Source organism: Homo sapiens, chromosome 10, assembly GCF_000001405.40.
Source record: "Homo sapiens chromosome 10, GRCh38.p14 Primary Assembly".
NCBI classification, from domain to species: Eukaryota; Metazoa; Chordata; class Mammalia; order Primates; family Hominidae; genus Homo; species Homo sapiens.
This window is the reverse complement of record NC_000010.11, coordinates 99265387-99290089: the sequence shown is the minus strand read 5'-3', so window position 1 is coordinate 99290089 and position 24703 is coordinate 99265387. Positions and strand designations below refer to the sequence as shown.

The following is a 24703-nucleotide window of genomic DNA, read 5'->3' as shown; positions in this document are numbered from 1 at the left end:
TCTATAGGTTTATAGATCTATAAGTGGGCGGGGAGGGGAAGCTGTTCTTGGCCCAACCCCTGCTTACCTCTGAGTCTTCTGTCAGAAGCAACCATTTTTAGTTTCTTCTTTAGCATATTAGATATTGGGTGCCTTCTGTGAAAGATGAGGTTTTAGTTCATTTATACTGCCCTGTCCTCCTCCTGCTCCCCTTGTCTTCTAGTTATAATATAACCTTTCGTTAGCTGGTATTTATTTATTTCAGCAGTACAGTTTTTAATGTAATTTTGTTTAACTGAAACCATAATTTAATTTGCCGTAAACTGAAGTGAAAGAACATTACAAATAAGCTTCTGACTTGAGTGTCGGTTAAAATAACCCTTTGCCAAGACGTCAGAATTTAAAGAAAATGGCATTTCATTGCAAGTAGGGCACCATAAGTTGAAGAAAAAGAAAATAACTACTTTAAAAAACTAGTCATCTGTGATTGGAAAACCTTAACTTTTATATGAAATAATATTTTTACTCCACTGATATTCCCCCTATGTTAAAATACTCTTGGCACTGAGTAAAAAATTAATTAACTTTCAAGAAGATGACTCAATCAGAATAATATAAACTGCATTCTAAAAAGAAAAATCATGGATAACAATTTTTTATTGCTAAAAATTGCCACCAGTAATTGTAGGATGTGAAAAGTAAAGGAATAGGACATTTACTACAACCAAACGAAGAAGAAAGTTCCAAAAAAAAAACAGATGATGTCTCCATTAACACACTCTTGGGTTCTAATATTAGAAATAATATTTTTTGCAGCCACGTAAATTGTTTCATCTTCTATTTATGATTTAGTTTAAGTACTACAGATTTTTTAGAGACTTTACCTTATTTACGCAACCTGAAATTTTGCAATCTGTTGCACTGTGGATGGTTTCAAACATCAGCTGCCTCTCAGTCCATCTTTAGGCACTCCTGATGCTTCTTAAATTGCCTCTCCTATGACCCAAGTCTCCATTTTTTGTCACTTCTTACAGGGACGCAGAATGTTACCATGTGAAAAAATCTTTTGGGGCTTGGTAAAACAGAAGACAGTGACCATGGCCCAATTTAATTATATTAGATTTTTAGCTGGTATTTTAATGATTACTAATACTATGAAAATATTCACAGCTAAACTATATAAGTATACCATAATTAAATTTCTTTCTTACACAAATTTTATTTTCCTTAGGGTTGAGAATTACCTGGCTGATTTTTAAATGCATCTATCATTATTTCATCCCAGATTCTCCATTATGTTTCCTCAATTCACTCAAACATATAATCTACCAGTTTTCATTCTTTTTTTTTTTTTTTTTTTTTGCTTGAGGCTGTCCCTCTTGCAGCTCTTTCATGTCTTTTTCCAATCTGGATTGATTGTTCTCTAGGCTGCTGTACAGCTGTATAGTTCCCAGTGTCCCCCTTCACCATTACCTTGGGTTCCCTTTGCTTTTCTCCTGTGTTGAATTCCCTGGTTCCTGGATCCCATGTATTTTTCCTCATTTCATTCCCTCATTTTGGTGGAAAGGAGATAAACTTTTCATCAGTTATATGTCTTATTTTAGCCATCCTTCTCCTCCTCCTTCTCTGCCTTTTACTCTTTTTCAGAATTTACACCTTCTTTTTATTCTGGGATAATTAAATTCTAAAAGCTTAGAACTTCAAGATACCTAGTTGCTTTTGTATTAAAGTGGCAGAAGTCTTTTGTATCATGTACATAAATATATACAACATAAAATCACACATGGAACTTATGTGTAAGCTATCGTGGTAGAGCTTAACAGAACCATCCACCGTGACCCTACCAGTTCAACATCATGTTCTAGATTTTCTTGCTCAGGGCTCCCTGGAACACAATTTAAAGAACACGATGTAATCTAGCCTATCCCTTAGATTTTAGGAATGGGGAAACTGAAGCCCTGAGAAAGGACTTACCTAGGGTCTTAACTTATTTCCTTCACTCTCACTCTCATCATGTTAAATTTCTCAACTTACTGTGAACCCTATTCTTACATTTTTTCAACTCAAATTATTACGTCAGTTCTACCTGTAAAATTCAAAATATGACATGACCTAACCCCTTTAGCTACAGCTTCTAGAAGAATCTAACCTCATGCTGTCTTAATCCAATGACTAGTGTTCCACAACATTTCTTTCTTTTTTGACTTGGGTTTAGGATCCCCTACCAGAAGCCATTTTTAGTATAAACTATTTTTACTCCTCAGTAACTAGCTTTCTTATTTACCAGTTATTAAAGATAAGCAACTTTGGCAAAGTAATGGCTGAATGAGCTTGAGACATCAAAATATACATCTCTACATTGAGATATGAATGCTATTGATTTTCAGACTCCCTTGTTTTAAAGTGAACCACCTAGGGAAAAATTTCCATTTTCTTAAGGTAAATGTTTGAAGTTGGTGTGATAATCCTGGAGGTGTACTGCTCAGATCTCCATTTAAGAGGATCTGCTGCAAGAAACATAGCTGGATGACTCCAGATGTTCACACCAGACCATATTCTCTTCACATTGTCTGTGATGTTCACTCCAAGCCACACACCCCTGCCACCCTCACACCCACTGCTGCTCCCAGCCAATGACTGAGCTCAGCTGGTTTACTAGGTTGGGCCATTTCTGCTCAACTGGGACTCCTCTGATGGCAGTCTTTGCTTGGACACTCCATGTTGGCCTGGTGAAGACTTTCTCTGAGCTGTGCTCTAGCTTGAGGTTCTTCCTGCCCAGTCCTCATTCCTTCTCTTCTTTCACAATTGTCATACCTAATCATAACTTGAAGGCTCTCCTCATTTATTCCTGCTGCTTCTCTCCTTGATCCTTCGTGGGCATTTCCCTAAGTAAATCTCTTGGATGTCTGATTCCTTCTTGGCATTTGCTTTTCAGAGGACCTGAACCAACACGTTTGATATTTGCAGGATTAGCTCTAAGATAATTCAACAAACATTTAATGAATTCTGCTCTAGGGAAGGTTCTGTACTAGATGCTGGAGATACAAAGATAAATGAAACAAATCTCTGCTATTATGTTGTTTGTGAGAGGTATTTAGCGATCCCCAAGTATAGGATAGTGATTAAGAGGGTGAATTTCAAGTTCAAATCTATGCATCACTGCTTACTGCAAGCTCTCTAAGCATCATTCTTCTTATTCAAAAAATGGGATGATAAAAGTATCTATCTTACAGTGTTACAGTGAGAATTAAATGAGAGACTATCCTATTAAGCAGTTTGCACAGTTCCAAGCATTTAACAGTACTCAAGGAATACTGGTTGGTATCAACATTAATGTAATGGGATAAGTCTTAAATATTTTGTTTTTTAACACATTAATTTTTTTCATTTATAAAGCTTTTTTATTGTGATGAAATATACATAACAGAAAATTTTCATTTTAACAATTTTTAAGTGTATAATTCAATGTCATTATATTCACAATGTCATACAGTCATCACCATTATTTCCAAAACTTTTTCATCACCCCATACTGAAAGTCTTTACCTATTAAGCACTAACCCTCATCGCCCACTTTCCCCAGCCCCTGGTGACCACTAATCTATTTTCTGTCTCTATGAATTTGCTCATTCTAGATATTTCATATAAGTGGAATCATACAATATTTGTCCTTTTATGTCTGGCTTGTTTTGCTTAGTGTGTTTTCAAGGTTCATTCATTTTTATGGCTGACTATTCCATTGTGTACATATATAAGATTTTATTTATCCATTCATCTGATGATAGACAACGTGGATCATATTCACCTTCTAGGTTATTGTGAATAATGCTGCTGTGGGCATTCATGTAGAAGTATTTGAGTCCATCTGTTCAATTATTTGGATATATAACAAGTGGAATTGTTGGGTCATATTGTTGGTAATTCCACGTTTAATTTTTTGAGGAACTGCCAAGCTGTTTCCACAGCAGCTGTGTAATTTCACGTTCCCATTAGCTATGTATGAGGATTCTGATTTCTCTACATCCTCAGCAATATTTCTTCTCTCTCTCTCTCACTTTTGTTATAGCCAACCTAGTGCATGTGAAGTGGTGTCTCATTGTGGTTTTGATTTGCATTTCCTAATGACTAATGATTGGAATACGTTTTCATGTGCCTGCTGATTGTGTGTGTATATATATATAATTTTGAGACAGGGTCTTGCTCTATTCCCCAGGCTGGAGTGCAGTGGTGCAAACTCAGCTCACTTCAACCTCTGCCTCCTGGGTTCACATGATCCTCCCACCTCAGTTTCCAGAGTAGCTGGGATTATAGGCATGTGCCACCATACCTGGCTAATTTTTGTATTTTTTGTAGAGACGGGATCTCACCATGTTGCCCAGGCTGATCTTGAACTCCTGGCTGCAATCCACCCACCTTGGCCTCCCAAAGTGCTGGGATTACAGGTGTGAGCCACTGCACACCCAGCCTCATTTATATATTTTCTTTGGAGAAGTGTCTATTCAAGTCCATCACCCATTTTATCCTTCCTTCCTCCATCCCTCACCTTTCCCTTCCCCTCCCTCCTCCCTTCCTCCCCTCCCTCCCTCCACCCTACTCCTTCCCTTTCCTTTCCCTCCCTCCCTCCCTCCCTCCCTTCCTTCCTTCCTTCCCTTTCTTTCATTTGCATTTCTTTTTTTTTATTGAGATAGCATCTCACTGTGTTACCCAGGCTGGAGTGCAGTGGCACACTCAGCTCACTGCAGCATCAATCTTCCAGGCTCAAGTGATCCTCCACCTTATCCTCTTGAGTAGCTGGGACTACAGGCATGTACCACTCTGCCCAGCTAATTTTTTTTTCCTTTTTTTGTAGAGACAGGGGTCTCACCATGTTGCCAGGCTGGTCTCAGACTCCTGGGCTCAAGTAGTACTCCCATTCAGCCTGCCAAAGTGTTGGGATTACAGGTATGAACCACTACCTCAGCCCATTGTCCATTTAAAAAATTTAAATGGGCCATTTAAAACCCATTTAAAAAATTGGGTTGTCCCTGCACATGTGCCCCTGATTCTAAAATAAAAGTTGAAATTATAAAATAAAAATAATTGAATTGTCTATTTGTCATTGAGTCAGAGTTCGTTATATATTCTGAATAGTAAACCCCAATTACTTAAGTGGTTTGCAGATATTTTCTCCCACTCTGTAGGGGTGTTTTTTCATACTCTTGACAGTGTGCTTTAATATACAAATGTTTTTAATTTTCCATGGTATATATGTATCACATTTTCTTTATCCAGTCTATCATTGATGGGCATTTAGGTTGATTCCATGTCTTTGCTATTGTGAATAGTGCTGCAATAATCTGTATAACAAACTCCCATGACACAAGTTTACCTATGTAACAAACCTACATTCGTACCCCTGAACTTAAAATGAAAGTTAAAAAACCCAAATATTTTTAATTTTAATGAATGCCATTTACCTATTTTTTCTTTTGTTGCTTGTGCTTTTGGGACCATATTTAAAAAGCTGTTGCCAAAAAAGAGAGAAACTATTGCCAAATACACAGTCATGAGAATTTGCCCATGTTTTCTTCTAAGATTAAGAAACTTTTATAGTTTTAGCTCTTAATTTTAGGTCTTTGATCAATTTTAAGTTAATTTTTGTATCTGGTGTAAGGTGAGGTCCAGCTTCATTCTTTTGCCATTGAGTATGATGTTAGATGTGAGTTTTTTTGTATATGGCCTTTATCACTGTGAGGAATTTTTCTTCTATTCCTAGTTCAAGTGGTTTTATCATGAGAAGGTATTGGACTTTGTCAAATGCTTTTACTCTATCAACTGAGGTCATTATATGTTTTTTTCTTTCATTCTGTTAATATGGCATATTACATTGATTAACTTTGTATGTTGAACCATCCTTGCATTCCTGGGGGTTAATCCTACTCACTTGATTGTGGTAAGTAATTCTTTTAATATTAAGCATTTAATATGCTTGCTGGTAGTTTGTTGAGGATTATTAACATCTATGTTCATAAGGGATATTGGTCTGTAGTTTTCTTTACTTGTGTGTTTGTCAGGCTTTGATAACAGGGTAATGGTGGCCTTGTAGAGTGAGTAAATGTTTCTTCCCTTTAAGTTTTTTGGAATAGTTTTAGAAGGATTGGTGTTAATTCCTTTTTAAATGGCAGAATTGGTAGAACTCATCAGTGAAGTCATCCAGTTCTGGACTTTTCTTTGTTGAAACATTTTTGATTACTGATTTAGTCTAGGTTTTTGATTACTGTTTCAATCTCCTTACTTGTTTTAGATCTATTCAGATGTTCTGTTTCTTCTTGAGTTAGTTTAGGAGTTTGTGTGTTTCTAGGAAATTATCCATTTCCTCTAGGTTATCCAATTTTTTGGTTTACAGTTATTCATAGTATTCTCTTTTAAGCCTTTTTATTCCTATAAAATCAGTAGTAATGTCCCCTTTTTCATTTCTGATTTGAGTAATTTGGGTCTTCTCTCTTTTTTTATCTTAGTTAATTTGCCTAAAGGTTTGTTAATTTTGTTAATCTTTTCAAAGAACTAATTTTTGATATTGTTGATTTTCCCTTTAAAAAAATTTTTTTTTAAATTTCTTTTTTTTGATTTTTTGTGAGGGTCTTGCTGTGTCACCCAGGCTGGAGTGCAGTGGTATGATCAGCTCACTGCAGCCTTGCCCTCCTGGCTCAAGCAATCCTCCCACCTCAGCCTCCCAAGCAGCTGAGATTACAGGTATGAGCCACTGCAGCCAGCCTGTTGATTTTCTCTTATTTTTTTCTCTATTTTATGTATCTCTAATATTTATTATTTTCTCCCTTCTGATAGCTTTGGGTTTGTTTTGCATTTTTTATTTGTAGTTCCTTAAGTTTAGGTTATTGATTTGAAATCCTTCTGTTTTTTTTTTTTTTTTTTTTTTTTTTAACCTGAGACGGAGTCTTACTCTGTCGCCCAGGCTGGAGTGCAGTGGCGTGATCTTGGCTCACTGCAAGCTCTGCCTTTTGGGTTCACACCATTCTCCTGCCTCAGACTCCCCAGTAGCTGGGACTACAGGCGCCTGCCACCATGCCCAGCTAATTTTTTTTGTATTTTTAGTAGAGTCGGGGTTTCACCATGTTAGCCAGGATGGTCTCGATCTCCTGACCTCGTGATCTGCCCACCTTGGCCTCCCAAAGTGCTGGGATTACAGGCATGAGCCACCACGCTCAGCCCCTTCTTTTTTTAACGTAGGCATTTATAGCTATAAATTTCCCTTTCACTTTTGCTGCATCTCGTAAGTTTTGGTATGTTATATTTTCATTTTTATTTGTCGCAGTGTATTTCCAAGTTTCCCTTGTGATTTCTTTTTGATCTGATTGTTTGTTTAAGCATGTGCTATTTAATTTCCAGATATTTGTGAATTTTCCAGTTTTCCTTTAGTTGTTTTCTTGGTTTCTTTCTATTGTGATTGGAAAACATATTTTGTATAATTTTAGTCTTTTAAAATTTGTTCTGTGGCTTAACTTACAGTCTGTCCAGGAAAATGTTTCTTGTGCACTTGAGAAGAATCCGTTCTGTTATTGTTGGGTAGAGGATTCCGTACATTTGTTAGGTGTTATTAGTTTGTAATGTTGTTGAAGTCCTCTATGTCCTCGGTGATCTTCTATTTGGTTGTTCTATTATTGAAAGTGAGTTATTGAAATCTTTAACTATGATTATAGAACTATATATTTTGCCCTTTAGTTCTGTCAATTTTTGCTTTATTTGTTTTGGGACTTTGTGCATATGTATATAATTGTTATATCTTGATGAGTTAAGCCTTTTTTCAACATACAATATCTTAATTTGTCTTTTGTAACTTTCTTTCCTTTTTTTTGAGACGGAGTCTTGTGCTGTTGCCCAGGCTGGAGTGCAGTGGCATGATCTTGGCTCACTGCAAGCTCCCCCTCCCAGGTTCACGCCATTCTCCTGCCTCGACCTCCTGAGTAGCTGGGACTACAGGCATCTGCCACCATGCCTGGCTAATTTTTTGTATGTTTAGTAGAGACAGGGTTTCACCTTGTTAGCCAGGATGGTCTCGATCTCCTGACCTTGTGATCTGCCTACCTCGGCCTCCCAAAGTGCTGGGATTACAGGCATGAGCCACCGCACCCGGCCTGTCTTTTGTAACTTTCTTTGGCTTAAATCTATTTTTTTTTCTGATAATAATATAGCCAACTCAGCTCTCTTTTGGTTACTGTTTGCATGGGATATAGTTTTCTATCCTCTTACTTTCAACCTGTTTGTGTCTTTGTATCTTCTTAAAACCCTGAAATGCCTTTCTGGTATATTTAGAATTAAATCTAAACTGTTTACCATGATCTACAGGGTCTTACACAATCTGTTCCTTGCTTAACAATCTTAATTTAAATGAGACAAACTCTTTTAATAAAGTAATCCAGTAGAGTCACAGGATTAATCACAACCTTTAATGATAAAGGGAAGATAAAGGAAATTTCAAAGCTCTTTCACTTACTTAACAAAGAAACTTCCCAAGTAGCATACTTTTCAGAAAATAGATAATAATTCAAATACTATTACGAGAGCAGTAAGTTATTAAATGAAATAATCAAGAATGGAGAATTTTAGGAGTTATAAGTTACTTTTGTAGGACAAAGCAACAATTACTGATTTCTTGTGTTTTTACAAATGACACTTTTATTATAACAGAAAACAGAATATATGTTTTCAGATGTTCTCAAATGAGGTAGCAGAGTAAGTTGGATATTTTGTGAATCTCTCGATATAACACTTTATTAAATATAGTAATTATAAAAATAGTACAATAATAAGTAACATATTACTTATACAATGTATAGTATATATAGTATATATTATTATATATTAATATAGGCACTATTCTGTTTTTAATATGTACTTAAAATTAATAAGATGTAATATAAAATTAATAAGATAATATTAATAAGTTATTGTTTAACAATAATAAATAACATACACAATGTACAGCATCTATGGTATATGTTGTTATATATTAATATAGGCACTATTCTAAGTTTTTAATACGTACTAACTCTTAATCCTTCTAATAACTCATGAGATAGGTACTATTATTATCATAATTTTACAATGAGATTTGAGGTACAGAAAGTTAAGTAATCTGCCCAAATCACACATTTAGTATGTAGCAGCTCAGAATTTGAATCCATGCAGTCTGGCTCCAGGATCTAGAGCTGTACCTCACACATAAAGGCACTTAATATTTGTTGAGTGAGTGAATAAAAAAAGTAGCTGAACCTCAGGGATTTAAGTGTCTAGTTCAAGGTCACAGAACAATTAAATGGAGGAGTCTGGATTTGAATCCAGAGCTGGAATTTTAATAACTGAGCTGTATGGCCTAGCTTGCAATGTGAGACAGACATACTCACAGTTAATCATAACACTAGGTGGCAGGAAGTGAGAGCTGTGTTACATATGCAAAGTAGGTAGGGAAGGTACTGAATAATTCCCGAATTTGGTCAGAGGTGCTTTTATACTTCAAACTGTGACTGTTCCATTGTCCTTAAGAGTCTAGGAAAGGGAAGGGGAAATTCTGTCGTTGTTAGCTTCTCTAATGAAAGGTGTGGAAGGGAAGTTGAAGTAATCATTAGGCAGTTGATATTTGGGAATGCATATGAATCTAAAATGCCCATTTTGTTCCGTTTTTATGTAACTGGGTACATTTGAGGCATTACTATACAGCAGATGTTAGATAAATGTAAGTGTGCTTTAAAAGTTGCAGTGGTATTCAAAACCCTTCATGGTCTGGCCAGACCTCTCTCTTCAACCTTTTCTCCTGTTATTACCCATACTGAATCCTTCTTTACATGATCAGGTTCATTCACTGACCCTCTAATAGACCTTTCACTCTCCTTTCCTTAGCTCTTGCCTCATGAGGCCTGTAACCTGCCTTGTGACAAATCTGTGATATTCACAAACTAATCATTTTGGATTTGGAAGGGACTTTGAAGAACTTCTGATTCAGAGAGCTGAAGAGACTTGTCCAAGGTCATACAACAGTTAATGGCAAAGCCAGTGAAGAACCCAGCTCTCCTGGACCTTATAGTCACAGGCTCTGTGCATAGCCCCACTCTATCTCATTTTTGGGTTGCTAGAAGGAGTCTCCAAAGGATTTGCTGAGAAGGCCTCTGGGTCTCCTCTGACATCAACTTAAAAATATGTGCCAGTGTGAATTTTCATATACAGAGTATGGGATTTTTCAGGAAAGTCACGTCTGTTTTATTTACTCAGTGTAGTCCCTGACAGCAATATGCAAATAGAGAATTTATTTAGTCTGCCTCCCCTGGTGACTTGCCAATCTCTGAGGGGGTGGAACACATTTTATGTTTCCCATGGGTTTTGTTTGTCATAGCTTGGTTTCCCATAGTAAAAAGAGCCCTGGGTAGCCCCATATGGGACAAAGCTGGAGATTATTAAATGCTTCTGTCTTATGTACACTAGGCATTCATATTTACTTATGGAGTTGTTCCATGCATTAAATTTAGAGCTTGTTAAAACCTACCACTCAAAAGTTAGTTTCACGGGTATTCTGATGAACCACAGTATTTGACAAAGGAAAGCTATTCTTTTAGTTATAGTGTAAGAAATTGGAACCTGGATTTTATTTACAATTTAGGAATCTCTCTTAGTAAAGCATACTCCCTTAGGTAAGTAATAAAAGCCTTGATTTTTATTGAGAACTATGAACTCTTTTACTTCTGTTTTTCCTGTGCCAACATGCTCTTTATCAGAGTGGATGTTCTTGGTCCAAAAATCCAGCATCATCCTGCCTTTCTGTATATAATTTGGGTATAGTACTCCTCTGAGATAGCTCATTTATGTGCTATCACTTTCCATGGTATCAGTAAAGAGCAATGGAATCCTTTCATGAAAAGAATCAATTTTCTTTCTTCTTCCTAACAGGTTCTGTCTTCTATCAAAAAGAACAACAATTGCAACCCTGTTGAAATTCTGAAATGATATTTCTTTTTTTTTTCTGATGATAAATGAAGATCCAGGGAATCCATATGAGCTCAACAACTAGGAGAGAAACATAGTTTTTGTAAATTGTGATTTTGATGACTTAGTTATCTTTGGTAGTTTGAAGTGTAGAATCTAAACAGGCATTTTTTGAAAGGGAAATACTTGCCTAGAACATAGTCTCCTTTAAACATTTCATGATTATTCTTATTCTCCATTGCAGAACACTCTTTTGGTACTTTCAGTAAAGGAATGACCTGAACCTTTCATTTACTGAACACCTACTGTGTGACAGCTACTTTTACATACTCTCCCTTCAATAAGTTTATGAAGTGGCTATTTTAATAGTAAATTAGAAGAAGAAATAGAAAGTCCAAATAATTTGCCTAAGATCACACAGTAAGTTTAGTGGAACTGGGATTTAAATCCAGATTTATTGATTTCTGTGGCCATGAATGCTAGTTGCCTACTCAGTATTCATCCTTTTTTCATCCTGATAAACAGAAGCCCACATTTTATTTGAGGCAGCAAAATTATGTATTTCTCAGCCTCCTTTTTAGCTAGGAGTGGCCATGAGATATAAGTGGAAATTTTTGGATGGGAAATCCAGGAATGACACAGCCATTCCTGTATAGAAATTAGGTATGATGACTGGAGTTCCAGCAGCTGTCTTCTGAATGTGAGAGAACCCTGAGAATGGAAGCTGCATGCCAATGATAGGGCAGAGTGTAAAAATAGGAATTTGAGACCCTGGTGATAGGGTCAAATTTTATTTTTTAAAAATTATTATTTTGTGAGGACATAAGTAATATGTATTTATTATAGAACATTTTGGAAATATAGAACACTATAAAGAATAACAGAAAATCACTTGTAAATCCAGAAACAGCCATGTCTATCTTCCAAACTTTTTTTTCACATGCATATTACTTTACAAATGTTCATTATCAAAATATTGTGAAGAGTCTTCTATCCCTAATTTATTAAGTTTGCAGTTTTGCATATCAGTTTTTTTTTTTTTTTTTTTTGAGAGGGAGTCTCGCTCCCAGACTGGAGTACAGTGGCGCGATCTTGGCTCACTGAAACCTCCGCCTCCTGGGTTCAAGCGATTCTCTCGCCTCAGCCTCCTGAGTAGCTGGGATTACAGGTGCGCACCACCACGCCAAGCTAATTTTTGTATTTTAGTAGAGACAGGGTTTCATCATGTTGTCCAGGCTGGTCTTGAACTCCTGACCCTAAGTGATCCACCTGCCTTGGCCTCCCAAAGTGCTGGGATTACAGGCGTGAGCCACCATGCCCGGCCGCATATCAGTTTTTTTAAAAGTGAGGTCCACACATGTTAAGCTGTATTATATGATATTTTTCCATCTTTTCTTAGGAATTTGTGGGTTTATATTTTACTGTATTGTGCATATGACATTTATACACAGAAAAACCACCATGATACACAAACGCTAAATGTTTTTATTAGAAATATTAAATAGAAATGCTACATATTTCTATTAGATGCCTGTAACATGGAGGGTCGGGAGGGGATCTTAAGTTCCCTCAGGGGTAGAAGGGCTCATGGAGCTCTCACTTGGTGAAAAACCAACACTCTTCCACTATTTCTGTCTTTTCATGGTTTCATCCAGTGACACTGAGCTCACTACCTCATAAGGGATTCATTTTATCTTTGTTGAACAGCTTTACTTGGCAGACTTTTCCTTAAACTGAGCCAAAAACCTTATTTTCGTTTACTTTTTACTTGTTGGTTCTAACTCTGCTGTCCACAGCAAAACAGAATAAAATGCTGATTTTCTCAAAGTGGTGTAAACATCCCAGGAGAATTAATGAGATTATCTATGGTTTTTAACTTATATTTTTGCATGCATGTGCACCTGTGTGCACAATTTTGACTTTATAAAGCCATAAGATGATATGATAGAGATGATTGTTTTTATGTTATTTATATCCCCACGGGATATCTTGATTTGAACGGGTGATAAATTAACTCCTAGCAATTTTCAAATGTCTGCCTTAAGTAGTTTCCCTGTAATTAGATAAAAACCCACAAGATGGCAGTCACTATCCATTGTCGCCTCTGTCCCATTCTTTCAGAATTGACCTGGTAATTTAGCTTATGACTGGGTAATATAGCACCATAATTTAATATTTCTATTCTAAGCGGGTGACAGAAGTATAAATGGTTTCAATCAGCAGTTTTGGCGTTATTTTAAATTTACAAATATGCTCAAATATTATTATAGTAGGATAATATTTTTATATTACAGTATTCTTTCCAGTACCTAAGTCACTCCACGGCATCTAATTTGACATACTAGGGTACTTCTGTAGAACTAAATGGCACCCCTGTGGCTTGAATAAAAAAGAATTTGCCTGTTTTTGTATTTGTGTCATTGTGCCTGATTTAACAACCTCTGCAGAGAACTCAATATTGTTTCTTGTCTGCTATTACTAATAGCAGCTTATCCTATTTATCAGTTATGGGGATTTCAAGACTCCAAGCGTAGATTAAAAAAAAGATGTAAAAAGAATTCTGGAATGCATAAAAGAACATTATAAATATAATTCGTATGAGGTTATGAATGTTCAGATGAGAGCACTAGAGAAAATAAGGGGCTAATAGGTTATTTGAGACATATATATGAAAGAGATTAATGTGTAGTGAAAAACCCTGGGCTGGAAGCAAAATTCTTTAAAAAGTGATGGCTAGACAACCATGCCACACAAACACCCAACTATGCAATTTTATTACTTTTCTATAGAGTTTTCTTTGCTAATGAAATAAAGACATTTAGTGATACAAAGAATAATTATTGGGTTGTAGTGTAAATAGGCATTAGTAGAGAAAATGTATATGAAGCACCGAGTATATAGTGTCTGGCTCACTGTAGTTGTTACTAAATGGAGTTGTTATGATTGTTGTTCCAACGAATATTGTATTTATATGTAATAATTCAAAAATTAGTTTTATTCATTTTTCAACATAATTATTGGGCATTTACTACAGGCGAAGCACTATGTGTGATAAAAGGAATAAGATCCTAATGTTTTGGGTATATATACTACCATTATTAAATATTACTAATAAAACCAAATTTTCAGTTATTTCTATTTGGCTGTTTTTTTCTTATCTATGTCCATGATACGATGTGCTTTTAATAAGTCATTAACATTACCAGGATTGCACATCACATACACACACCCACACCCACCCCTTCATGTAATAATCTCTTCCCTTCATTCCCAATAGAAGGGTTCTCTTACAGTCCCATGCCCTAGATGTTCTGGCCTGAAGGAGCCTGCTCTGAGCTGGTACCAGAGATGATGTTGCCTGCCTTAGGGGAAACACTACAATCATTTTGTTGGGGGCAAGGGTATGGAGAAGACCCAAGACGGATGTTACTGTTGGAAAGAGGGAGGATTCAAAGAGCATGGGCTTCACATATCCTTGGGATGGAGTTTAGGATTAGAAGAATGCCGTAAAATGGGTCAGGATTAAATTCAAAAGGAAAGAAGGGAGAGGAGCTGTTGCTGGGATGGTTTTTAGCCCAGACAACCAAAGCAGGTAATACTTAAGAAGGGTGACCATAACATGTTCCAGTTTGTCTAAGAAAGTCCACTTTATGTGTTGGTCATTGTTTACTTATTAGTAATATTCCCTTCAGTGCTCATAAATGTCCCAAGTTAAATAATACATTATGTGGTCACTGTACCCTTGGGGTACTAAGACGTACGAGTCAAGAAGGACTTCCTGCTTCATGCCATCTGCATGAGCACCTGCAAAGAAAACAGAGATGTACTAAAGAGGAATAATAAAAAGGGTTAACTGTAAACGGTAAAATAAACTTTAAAGATTTCACCTCAGTTTGTCTTTATCTTAATCGAAAAAATTAGAAGCTGAATGCAAAAGTACTTCAGTTCTCTAACAGCCATTACCTTTTTTCTCTTCCCAGATATTTTTGGAAGGAACTAATACTGGATTTGGGGGGAACTGTTTTCTAAATTTGAGTCACTCACTTGCTACAGTAACTTGTTCTCTGGCCCTGCAGGAGCCCAAATTTCTACATCTGTAAAATGAAGGGCTAGATTAAATTATTTCTTAGGTACCTTGCAGTTCTGATATTAAATAATAAAATTTTCATGAGAACTGGACTGGAAAAGGGTGCCCTTGAAGAATTTTATTCTAGTTTAAAACGTTACACCTATGTAAGTGAGACAGCTAAGTCTGCTTTGGCGAAGTATATTTCCCAGATGAATGTTGTATGGTTTGACTTTATGCTATATGAAAACTTCCTCCAGTTTACTCTGGAAATTTAAAAAGAAGTTATTTTTCAGACAGCTGCAGTACCATCCTTGTTAGAGAATTTCATTAGCTGCATTTAGCCTCCTAATAACTAATCTCAGACAGAATGGGAAGTTCTGAAAGCTTCCAGCTGCTCCTGGAAATGTTCTCTCTCTTTTTTGTGGTTGAATTTTTTTTTAACGTATATGACAGTCAAATTTATTTTTAAATGGTTAACACTTTAAATATTTGGACACAGACTACAGGCTTGACATATTTAAGTATAAAAATAATTTGAAGGAAAACCTTACTCCTCTATTAATGCTTTTTAATTTTTGTTAATTTTTATGAAAACTGAGTCTTAAAAATAATTATTTCTTTTCTGTTTGAAGGGTTTTTTTTAAATTTTACTTTATTTTATTTTAAGTTCCAAGATACATGTGCAGGACGTGCAGGTTTGTGGACTTCTTGCCTTACACTGTTTCTTTTTATTTTGAGACAGAGTCCCAGGCTGGAGCACAGTGGTAGGATCCTTTGCTCACTGCAACCTCCGTCTCCCAGGTTCAAACGATTCTCCTGCCTCAGCCTCCCGAGTAGCTGGGATTACAGGCGCAGGCCACCACGCCTGGCTAATTTTTTGTATTTTTAGTAGAGACAGGGTTTTGCCATGTTGGCCAGGTTGGTCTCAAACTCCTGGCCTCAAGCGATCTGCCTGCCTTGGCCTCCCAAAGTGCTGGGATTACAGGCGTGAGCCACCGCACCTGCCTGCTTTACACTGTTAATAGGCATGTAGCTATTCTTTACTTATACAAATGTTACCAGGGAAGTTATATGACTCCAGATTGATTAATGTTGGGTTTGCCTTTCTCTTCTGTAAAGGCTTGTTTCAGACTGGATCTTAGAAATTATGTCCCTGGCAGCAGAGATAGTGCACACATTCTCACTGGCCAAAGGATCATGGCTTCTTTTTGTCTCTGTCATGGTTAAAGGGCAATCCCTCCCACCTGTAGTACTCACTTTTAAAAGAGAGTTCTGTCAGTTACTGGATCATTTATTTGTCCCTCCCTGCATCTGTTTGTCTATCCATCTTTCCATCCATCATCCATCTGTCTGTCCTTCTGCCCATTTTATATGTGTTCTGCCTAAATATATGCATCAAGCAATTCCAGGAGAGAAGACTTATGTCCTCTGTTTCTCTTGGAAACTAGTCTCATATCTTTAGGGGTTGGTTTATGTCTTGGACCTGATTCTCCCAAATTTCAGTGCCTAGATTTAGAACCCAATTTTCTCAGATAACATTTTCCTTGTCTATCATTTGTAAATTATTGCATTTAGGCCAAAGGCAGAGGCAGAAGGAAAATTCTCAGACCATGATTTTTTTTCTTCAACTAAAAAAATTTTATTTATTTATTTATTTCAATAGGTTTTTGGGGAACAGGTAGTGTTTGGTTATGTGAATAAGTTCTTTAGTGGTGATTTTTGAGATTTTGATGCAACCATCACCTGAACAGTGTACACTGTAGCCATTGTGTAGTCTTTTATCCCTCATGCCCCTCACTCTTTTCCCTGATTCCCCAAAGTCCATTGTATCATTCTTATGCCTTTGCATCCTCACAACTTAGCTCCCACTTATGACTGAGAACATACAAAGTTTAGTTTTCTATTCCTGAGTTACTTCACTTAGAATAATCCTCTCCAATTTCATCCAGCTTGCTGCAAATGTCTTTATTTTGTTCCTTTTTATGGCTGAGTAGTATTCCATGGTAGATATATACCACAATTTCTTTATCCACTTGCTGATTGATGGGCATTTGGGCTGGTTCCATATTTTTGCAATTTTGAATTGTGCTGCTATAAACATGCATGTACAAGTATCTTTTTCAAGTAATGACTTCTTTTCCCCTGGATACCCAGTAGGGGGATTGCTGGATCACATGGCAGTTCTTCTTTTAGTTCTTTAAGGAATCTCCACAGTTTTCCATAGTGGTTGTACTAGTTTACTTTCCCACCAGCAGTGTAAAAGTGTTCCCTTTTCACCACATCCATGCCAACATCTATTATTTTTTTATTTTTTTTTATTATGCCCACACTTGCAGGAGTAAGGTGGTATCGCATTGTGGTTTTGATTTGCATTTCCCTGATAATTAGTGATGTTGAGCAATTTTTCATATGTTTGTTGAACATTTGTCTATCTTCTTTTAAGAATTGTCTATTCATGTCCTTAGTCTACTTTTTGATGGGATTTTTTTTTTCTTGCAATTTGTTTAAGTTCCTTATAGATTCCGGATATCAGTCCTTTGTCAGATGTATAGATTGTGAAGATTTTCTCCCACTCTGTGGGCTGTCTGTTTACTCTGCTGATTGTTTTGCTGTGCAGAAGCTTTTCAGTTAATTAATTCCCATGTATTTATCTTTGTTTTTGTTGTATTTGCTTTTGGGTTCTTGGTTGTGAAGTCTTTGCCAAAGCCAATGTCTAGAAGGGTTTTTCCAATGTTTCCTTCTAGAATTTTTATGGATTCAGGTTGTCTTTGTCCATCTTGAGTTGATTTTTTTTTTTTTTTGAGATGGAGTCTCACTCTGTTGCCCAGGCTGGAGTGCAGTGGTGCAATCTGGGCTCACTGCAACCTCTACCTCCCGGGTTCAAGCAATTCTCTGCCTTAGCCTCCTGAGTAGCTGGGATTACAGGCGTCTGCCACCATGCCTGGCTAATTTTTGTGTTTTTAGTAGAGACGGGGTTTCACCATGTTGGCCTGGCCGGTCTCGAACTCCTGACTTCGTGATCCACCTACCTCGGCCTCTCAAAGTGTTGGGATTACAGGCGTGAGCCACTGCACCCAGGTGTGTTGATCTTTGTATAATGTGAGAGAAGAGGATCCAGTTTCATTCTTCTACATGTGGCTTGCCAGTTATCCCAGCACCATTTGTTGAATAGGGTGTCCTTTCCCCACCTTATGTTTTTGTTTGCTTTGTTGAAGGTCAGGTGGCTTTTTGGCTTTATTTCTGGGTTCTCTATTCTGTTCCATTGGTCTGTGTCCCTGTTTTTATACCAGAACCATGCAGTTTTGGTGGCTATGGCCTTATTGTATAGTTTGAAGTTGGGTAATGTAATATCTCCAGATTTGTTCTTTTTGCTTAGCCTTGCTTTGGCTATGTGGTCTCTTTTTTGGCTCCATATGAATTATAGGTTTGTTTTCTCTAGTTCTGTGAAGAATGATGGTGGTACTTTGATAGGAATTGCATTGAATTTGTAGATTGCTTTTGGCGGTATGATGATTTTCACAATATTGATTCTACCCATCCATGAGCATGGGATGTGTTTCCATTTGTTTGTGTCATCTGTGATCTCTTTCAGCAGTGTTTAGTAGTTTTCCTTGTAGAGGTCTTTCATTTCCTTGGTTAGGTATATTCCCAAATTTTGTTTTGTTTTGTTTTGTTTCACAGCTATTGTAAAAGGGGTTGAGTTCTTGATTTGATTCTCAGCTTGGTTGCTGCTGGTGTATAGCAGAGCTACTGATTTCTGTATATTAATTTCGTATCCTGAAACTTTGCTGAATTCCTTTACTAGCTCTAGGAGCTTTTTGGATGAGTCTTTTGGGTTTTCTATGTATACAGTCATGTCATCAGCAAACATTGACAGTCTGATGTCCTGTTTACTGATTTGGATGTCCTTTATTTCTTCCTCTTGTCTGATTGCTCTGGCTAGGGCTTCCAGTATTATGTTGAATAGAAGTGGTGAGAGTGGGCATCCTTGTCTTGTTCCAGTTCTCAGGGGGAGTACTTTCTGCTTTTCCCCATTCGGTATTATGTTGGTTGTGGGCCTGTCATAGATGACTTTTATTATATTAAGGTATGTCCCTTCTATGCCAATTTTGTTGAGGGTTTTAATCATAAAGAGATGCTGGATTTTCTCAAATGCTTTTTCTGCATCTATTGAGATGATAATGTGATTTTTGTTTTTAATTCTATTTATGTGGTGTATCACATTTATTGTCTTGCATGTATTAAACCATCCCTGAATTCCTGGAATGAAACCCCCTTGGTCATGGTGGATTATCTTTTTGATACACTGTTGGATTCAGTTAGCTAGTGTTTTGATAAGGATTTTTGCATCTGTGTTCATCAGGGATATTGGTCTGTAGTTTTTCTTTTTTTGTTATATCCTTTCCTGTTTTGGTATTAGGGTGATACTGGCTTCATAGAATAATTTAGGGAGGATTCTCTCTTTATCTTGTGGAATAGTGTCAGTAGGATTGGTACAAATTCTTCTTTGAATGTCTGATAGACTTCAGCTGTGCATCTGTCTGGTCCTGGACTTTTTTTTGTTGACAATTATTAAATTACCATTTCAATCTCACTGCTTGTTATTGGTCTGCTCAGAGTATCTATTTCTTCCTAGTTTAACCTAGGAGGATTGCATATTTCCAGGAATTTATCCATCTCCTCTAGGTTTTCTAGTTTATGCACGTAAAGGTGTTCATAGTATGATCTTTTTGTATTTGAATAATTTTTTGTATTTCTGTGGTATTGGTTCTGTGGTATCTCCCATTTCATTTCTAATCGAGCTTATTTGGATTTTCTCTCTTCTTGTCTTGGTTAACCTTGCTAATGTTCTATCAATTTTATTTATATTTTCAAAGAACCAGCTTTCTGTTTCATTTATCTTTTGTACTTTTTTGTTTCAACTTAATTTAGTTCTCTGATCTTGTTATTTCTTTTCTTCTGCTGGGTTTGGGTTTGGTTTATTCTTGTTTCTTTACTTCCTTGAGATGTGACCTTAAGATTGTCTATTTGTGCTCTTTCAGACTTTTTCACGTAGGCATTTAAGGCTGCTATGACCTTTCCTCTTAGCACTGCCTGTGCAGTATCCCAGAGGTTTTGCTAGGTTATGTCACTATTATTGTTCAGTTCAAAGAATTTTTAAATTTCCATGTTGATTTCATTGTTGACCCAATGATCGTTTAGGAGCAGGTTATTTAATTTCCACATATTTGCATGGTTTTGAGGGTTCCTTTCGGAGTTGATTTCCAATTTTATTCTGCTGTGGTCTGAGAGAGTACTTGATATAATTTTAGTTTTCTTAAATTTATTGAGGCTTGTTTTGTGGCCTATGATATGGTGTATCTTGGATTATGTTCCATGTGATGATGAAAAGAATGTGTATTCTGCAGTTGTTGGGTAGAATGTTCTGAAACATTAAGTTCATTAAGTTCTAGCGTAACATTAAGTTCATTTGCTCGAGGGTATAGTTTAAATCCATTGTTTCTTTGTTGACTTTCTGTCTTGATGACCTGTCTAGTGCTGTTAGTGGAGTATTGAAGTCCCCTGCTATTATTGTGTTGCTATCTATTTCATTTCTTAGGTCTAGTATTAATTGCTGTATAAATTTGGGAGCTCCAGTGTTAGTTACATATATATATTTAGGACTGATATTTTTGTGTTGGACAAGTTATTTTTATCATTATATAATGTCCCTCTTTGTCTTTTTTAACTGCTGTTGCTTTAAAGTTTGTTTTGTCTGATATGAGAATAGTCACTTCTGCTTACTTTCAGTGTCCATTTGTATGGAATATCTTTTTTCACTCCTTTACCTTAATTTTATATGGGTCTATGTGTTGTTAGGTGAGTCTCTTGAAGACAGCAGATACTCGATTGGTGAATTCTTTTTTTTTTTTTGACGAAGTCTCGCTCTTGTCCCCCAGGCCGGAGTGCAGTGGCATGATCTTGGCTCACTGCAACCTCTGCCTCCCAGGTTCAAGTGATTCTCCTGCCTTGGACCCTCAAGTAACTGGGATTGCAGGTACCTGCCACCATGCCCAGCTAATTTTTGTATTTTTTTTAGTTGAGATGGGGTTTCATCATGTTGGCCAGGCTGGTCTCGAACTCCTGACCTCAGGTGATCCACCCGCCTCGGCCTCCCAAAAGTACTGGGATTACAGGCGTGAGCCACCATGCCTGGCCCGTGAATTCTTATCCATTCTGCCATTCTTTATCTTTTAAGTGGAGCATTTAGGCCATTTACCTTCAATGTTAGTATTGAGATGTGAGGTACTATTCTCTTCATCATGCTATTTGTTGCCTGAATACCTTGTTATTTATTTATTATTTATTTAATTAATTAATCAATTTATTTATTGTGTTTCTGTTTTGTAGGTCCTGAGAGATTTATGCCTTTTTTTTTTTTTTTTGAGACAGAGTCTTTCTCTGTTGCCAATGCTGGAGTGCAGAGGCCCGATCTCGGCTCACTGCAACCTCTGTCTCCCAGGTTCAAGTGATTCTTCTGCCTCAGCCTCCCAGGTAGCTGGGATTATAGGTGCACACCACCACACCCGGCTAATTTTTGTATATTTTTTTAGTTGAGACGGGGTTTCACCATGTTGGCCAGGCTGTTCTCGAACTCCTGACCTCATGATCCACCCAGCTCAGCCTCCCAAAGTGCTGGGATTACAGGCGTGAGCCACTGCACCTGGCCGAGATTTATGCTTTAAGGAGGTTCTGTTTTGGTTTATTTGGAGGATTTGTTTCAAGATTTAGTGCTCCTTTTGGCAGTTCTTGTAGTGTTGGGTTGGTAGTGGCAAATTCTCTCATCATTTGTTTGTTGAAACAGGCTGTATCTTTCATTTTTATGAAGGCTTCTTTGCTGGATACAAACTTCTTGGCTGATAATTGTTTCATTTAAGGAGGCTAAAGATAGGGCCCCAATCCCTTCTAGCTTTTAGGGTTTCTGCTGAGAAATCTCTGTTACTCTGATAGATTTTCCTTTATAGGTTACCTGGTACTCTTGCCTCAGAGCTCTTAAGATTCTTTCCTTCATCTTGACTTTAGATAACCTAATGACTATGTGCCTAGGCGATGATCTTTTTGCAATACATTTCCCAGGTGTTTTTTGAGCTTCTTGTATTTGGGTGTTTAGGTCTCTAGCAAGGCCAGGGAAGTTTTCCTCCATTATTCCCTCAAATACATTTTCCAAACTTTTAGATTTCTCTTCTTCCTCAGGAACACCAATTATTCTTACATTTAGTGTTTTTTTTTGTTTGTTTTTTGTTTTTTTTTTTTGATGGAGTCTCGCTCTGTTGCCCAGGCTGGAATGCAGTGGCATGATTTTGGCTCACTGCAACCTCCGCCTCCCAGGTTCAAGCTGTTCTCTTGCCTCAGCCTCCCGAGTAGCTGGGACTACAGGCCCCACCACCACGCTGGCTAATTTTTGTATTTTTAGTAGAGATGGGGTTTCACCATATTGGCCAGGCTGGTCTTGAACTCCTGACCTTGTGATTCACCTGACTCAGCCTCCAAAAGTGTTGGGATTACAGGCGTGAGCCACCATGCCCGGCAGGTTTGGTCGTTTAACATAATCACAAACTGCTTGGAGGCTTTGTTCATTTAAAAAAAATTTTTTTTCTTTGTGTTTGTTGGATTGGGTTAATTTGAAAACCTTATCTTTGAGCTCTGAAGTTCTTTCTTCTGCTTGTTTGATTCTATTGCTGAGACTTTCCAGTATATTTGTATTTCTGTAAGTGTGTCCTTCATTTCCAGAAGTTGTGATTGTTTTTTATTTATGCTATTTCACTGAGGATTTTTCCCCTTGTATCTTGTATCATTTGTTTGTTACCTTTCTCTGGTGTCTCCTTGATTAGCTTAATAATCGACCTTCTGAATTCTTCTGGTAATTCAGGGATTTCGTCTTGGTTTGGATCCATTGCTGGTGAGGTGAGCTAGTGTGATCTTTTGGGGGGTGTTAAAGAACCTTGTTTTGTTATATTACCAGAATTGTTATTCTGGTTCCTTTTCATTTGAGTAGACCATGTCAGAGGGAAGATCTGGGGCTCAAGGGCCGCTGTTCAGATTCTTTTGTCCCATGGGGTGCTACCTTGATGTAGTATTCTCCCCCTTCCCCTAGGGATGTGGCTTCCTGAGAGCTGAACTGTAGTGATTGTTATTTGTCTTCTGGATCTAGTCTCCCAGCAGAGCTGCCGGGCTTCAGGCTGGTACTGGGGAGTGTCTGCACAGAGTCGTGTGATGTGAACAATCTTCAGGTCTCTCAGCCATGGGTAGTAGCACCTGCTTTGTTAGAGGTGGCAGGGAAGTAAAATGGACTCTGTCAGGGTTTTTAGTTGTAGTTTTGTTTATTGTACTCGTTTTGTGTTGATTGGCTTCCTGCCAGGAGATGGTGCTTTCAAGAGAGCATCAGCTGTGGTAGTATAGGGAGGATTAGGCAGTGGGTGGGTCCCTAGAGCTCCCAAGAGATTATGTCCTTTGTCTTCAGCTACAAGGGTGAGTAGAGAAAGACCATCACGTGGGGGCAGGGTTAGGCGTGTCTGAGCTGAGACTCTCCTTGGGTAGGGCTTGTGGTGGCTGCTGTGGGGGATGGGTGTGTTGTTCTCAGGCCAATGGAGTTATATTCTCAGGGGGATTATGGCTGCCTCTGCCGTGCCATGCAGGTCACCAGAGAAGTGTGAGAAAGCCAGCATTATAGGCCTTATTCAGCTCCCATACAGCCCAAAACGTTGGTCTCATTCCCACCATGCCGCCACAACAGCACCCAGTTTATTTCCAGGCAGCAGGTAAGCAGGGCTGAGAACTTGCCTCAGGCAACCAGCCTCCTGGCTGAGAAAGCAAAGCAGGGCATTCAGATTTTGCATCTCCCGACCTGCTGTGGCTTCTGTGCTGTGTCTGCGCTGGCGATTCACTCCCTCCCCCAAGTTCTGTCCGGGAAACTTCGTGTTAGGTTGAAATTGTTACAAAGTTCAACTGCAAGTTTCCTTCTCCCTGTGGTCTTTTCCCAGTTCCTCTGGTAGCCCTCCCCAAGAACCTCTGTGAGACAAAGTCAGAAATGGCTTCTCTGGGGACTGAGAGAGCCCACAGGCTCTTCTTGCTGCTTCTTCTACCCCTGTATTTCACTTGGCTCTTTAAATTTGTCTCTGCTCCAGGTAAGGTCAAATCCTTCTCCTGTGATCTAGACCTTCAGGTTCCCCTGTGAGGGTGTGTGTTTGGGCGTGGACAATCCCCCTTTCACACTTTGGGCACTCACAGTTTTTTGTCTGTCTCCCAGGGCCTGCAGGAGCAATCCACTTCCTTCAAAGGGTCTGTGGACTCTCTCAGCTTTCCTGGTATGTTCCTGTGGTAGTTCTTGGAGCAGAGGTTCATTATGTGAGTTTCTACACACTGCTCTGTCTTTCTGAGTGGGAGCTGCAATTTAGTCCTGCCTCATATCCACCATTTTTCGCTTTCACTCCTTTCTTCAACTTTTAAGTTCAGGGGTACATGTGCAAGATGTGCAGGTTTGCTACATAGGTAAACGTGTGCCATGGTGGTTTGCTGCACTGATCATCCCGTCACCTAGGTATTAAGCCCAGTGTCCACTAGCTATTCTTCCTTTTGCTCTCCCCGCCCCAAGCCACCCGACAGGCCCCAATGTGTGTCATTTCCCTCCATGTGTACGTGCATTCT

At 38.0% G+C, this 24703-nt stretch overlaps 1 protein-coding gene across 1 annotated transcript in view, besides 1 other annotated feature; it reads left to right on the top strand.

Annotated features, from left to right (window-relative positions):
• Positions 1-24703, top strand: part of HPSE2 (heparanase 2 (inactive)) — an 858875-nt gene that overhangs the window by 25862 nt on the left and 808310 nt on the right. The window lies entirely within an intron of this gene.
• Positions 23714-24260: an enhancer, noted in NCBI's record as "NANOG-H3K27ac-H3K4me1 hESC enhancer chr10:101025587-101026133 (GRCh37/hg19 assembly coordinates)". NCBI's record gives its function as "activates a minimal SCP1, AML or CMV promoter by ChIP-STARR-seq in naive H9 embryonic stem cells {active_cell/tissue: H9 hESC(naive)}" and the evidence as "EXISTENCE:reporter gene assay evidence [ECO:0000049][PMID:30033119]".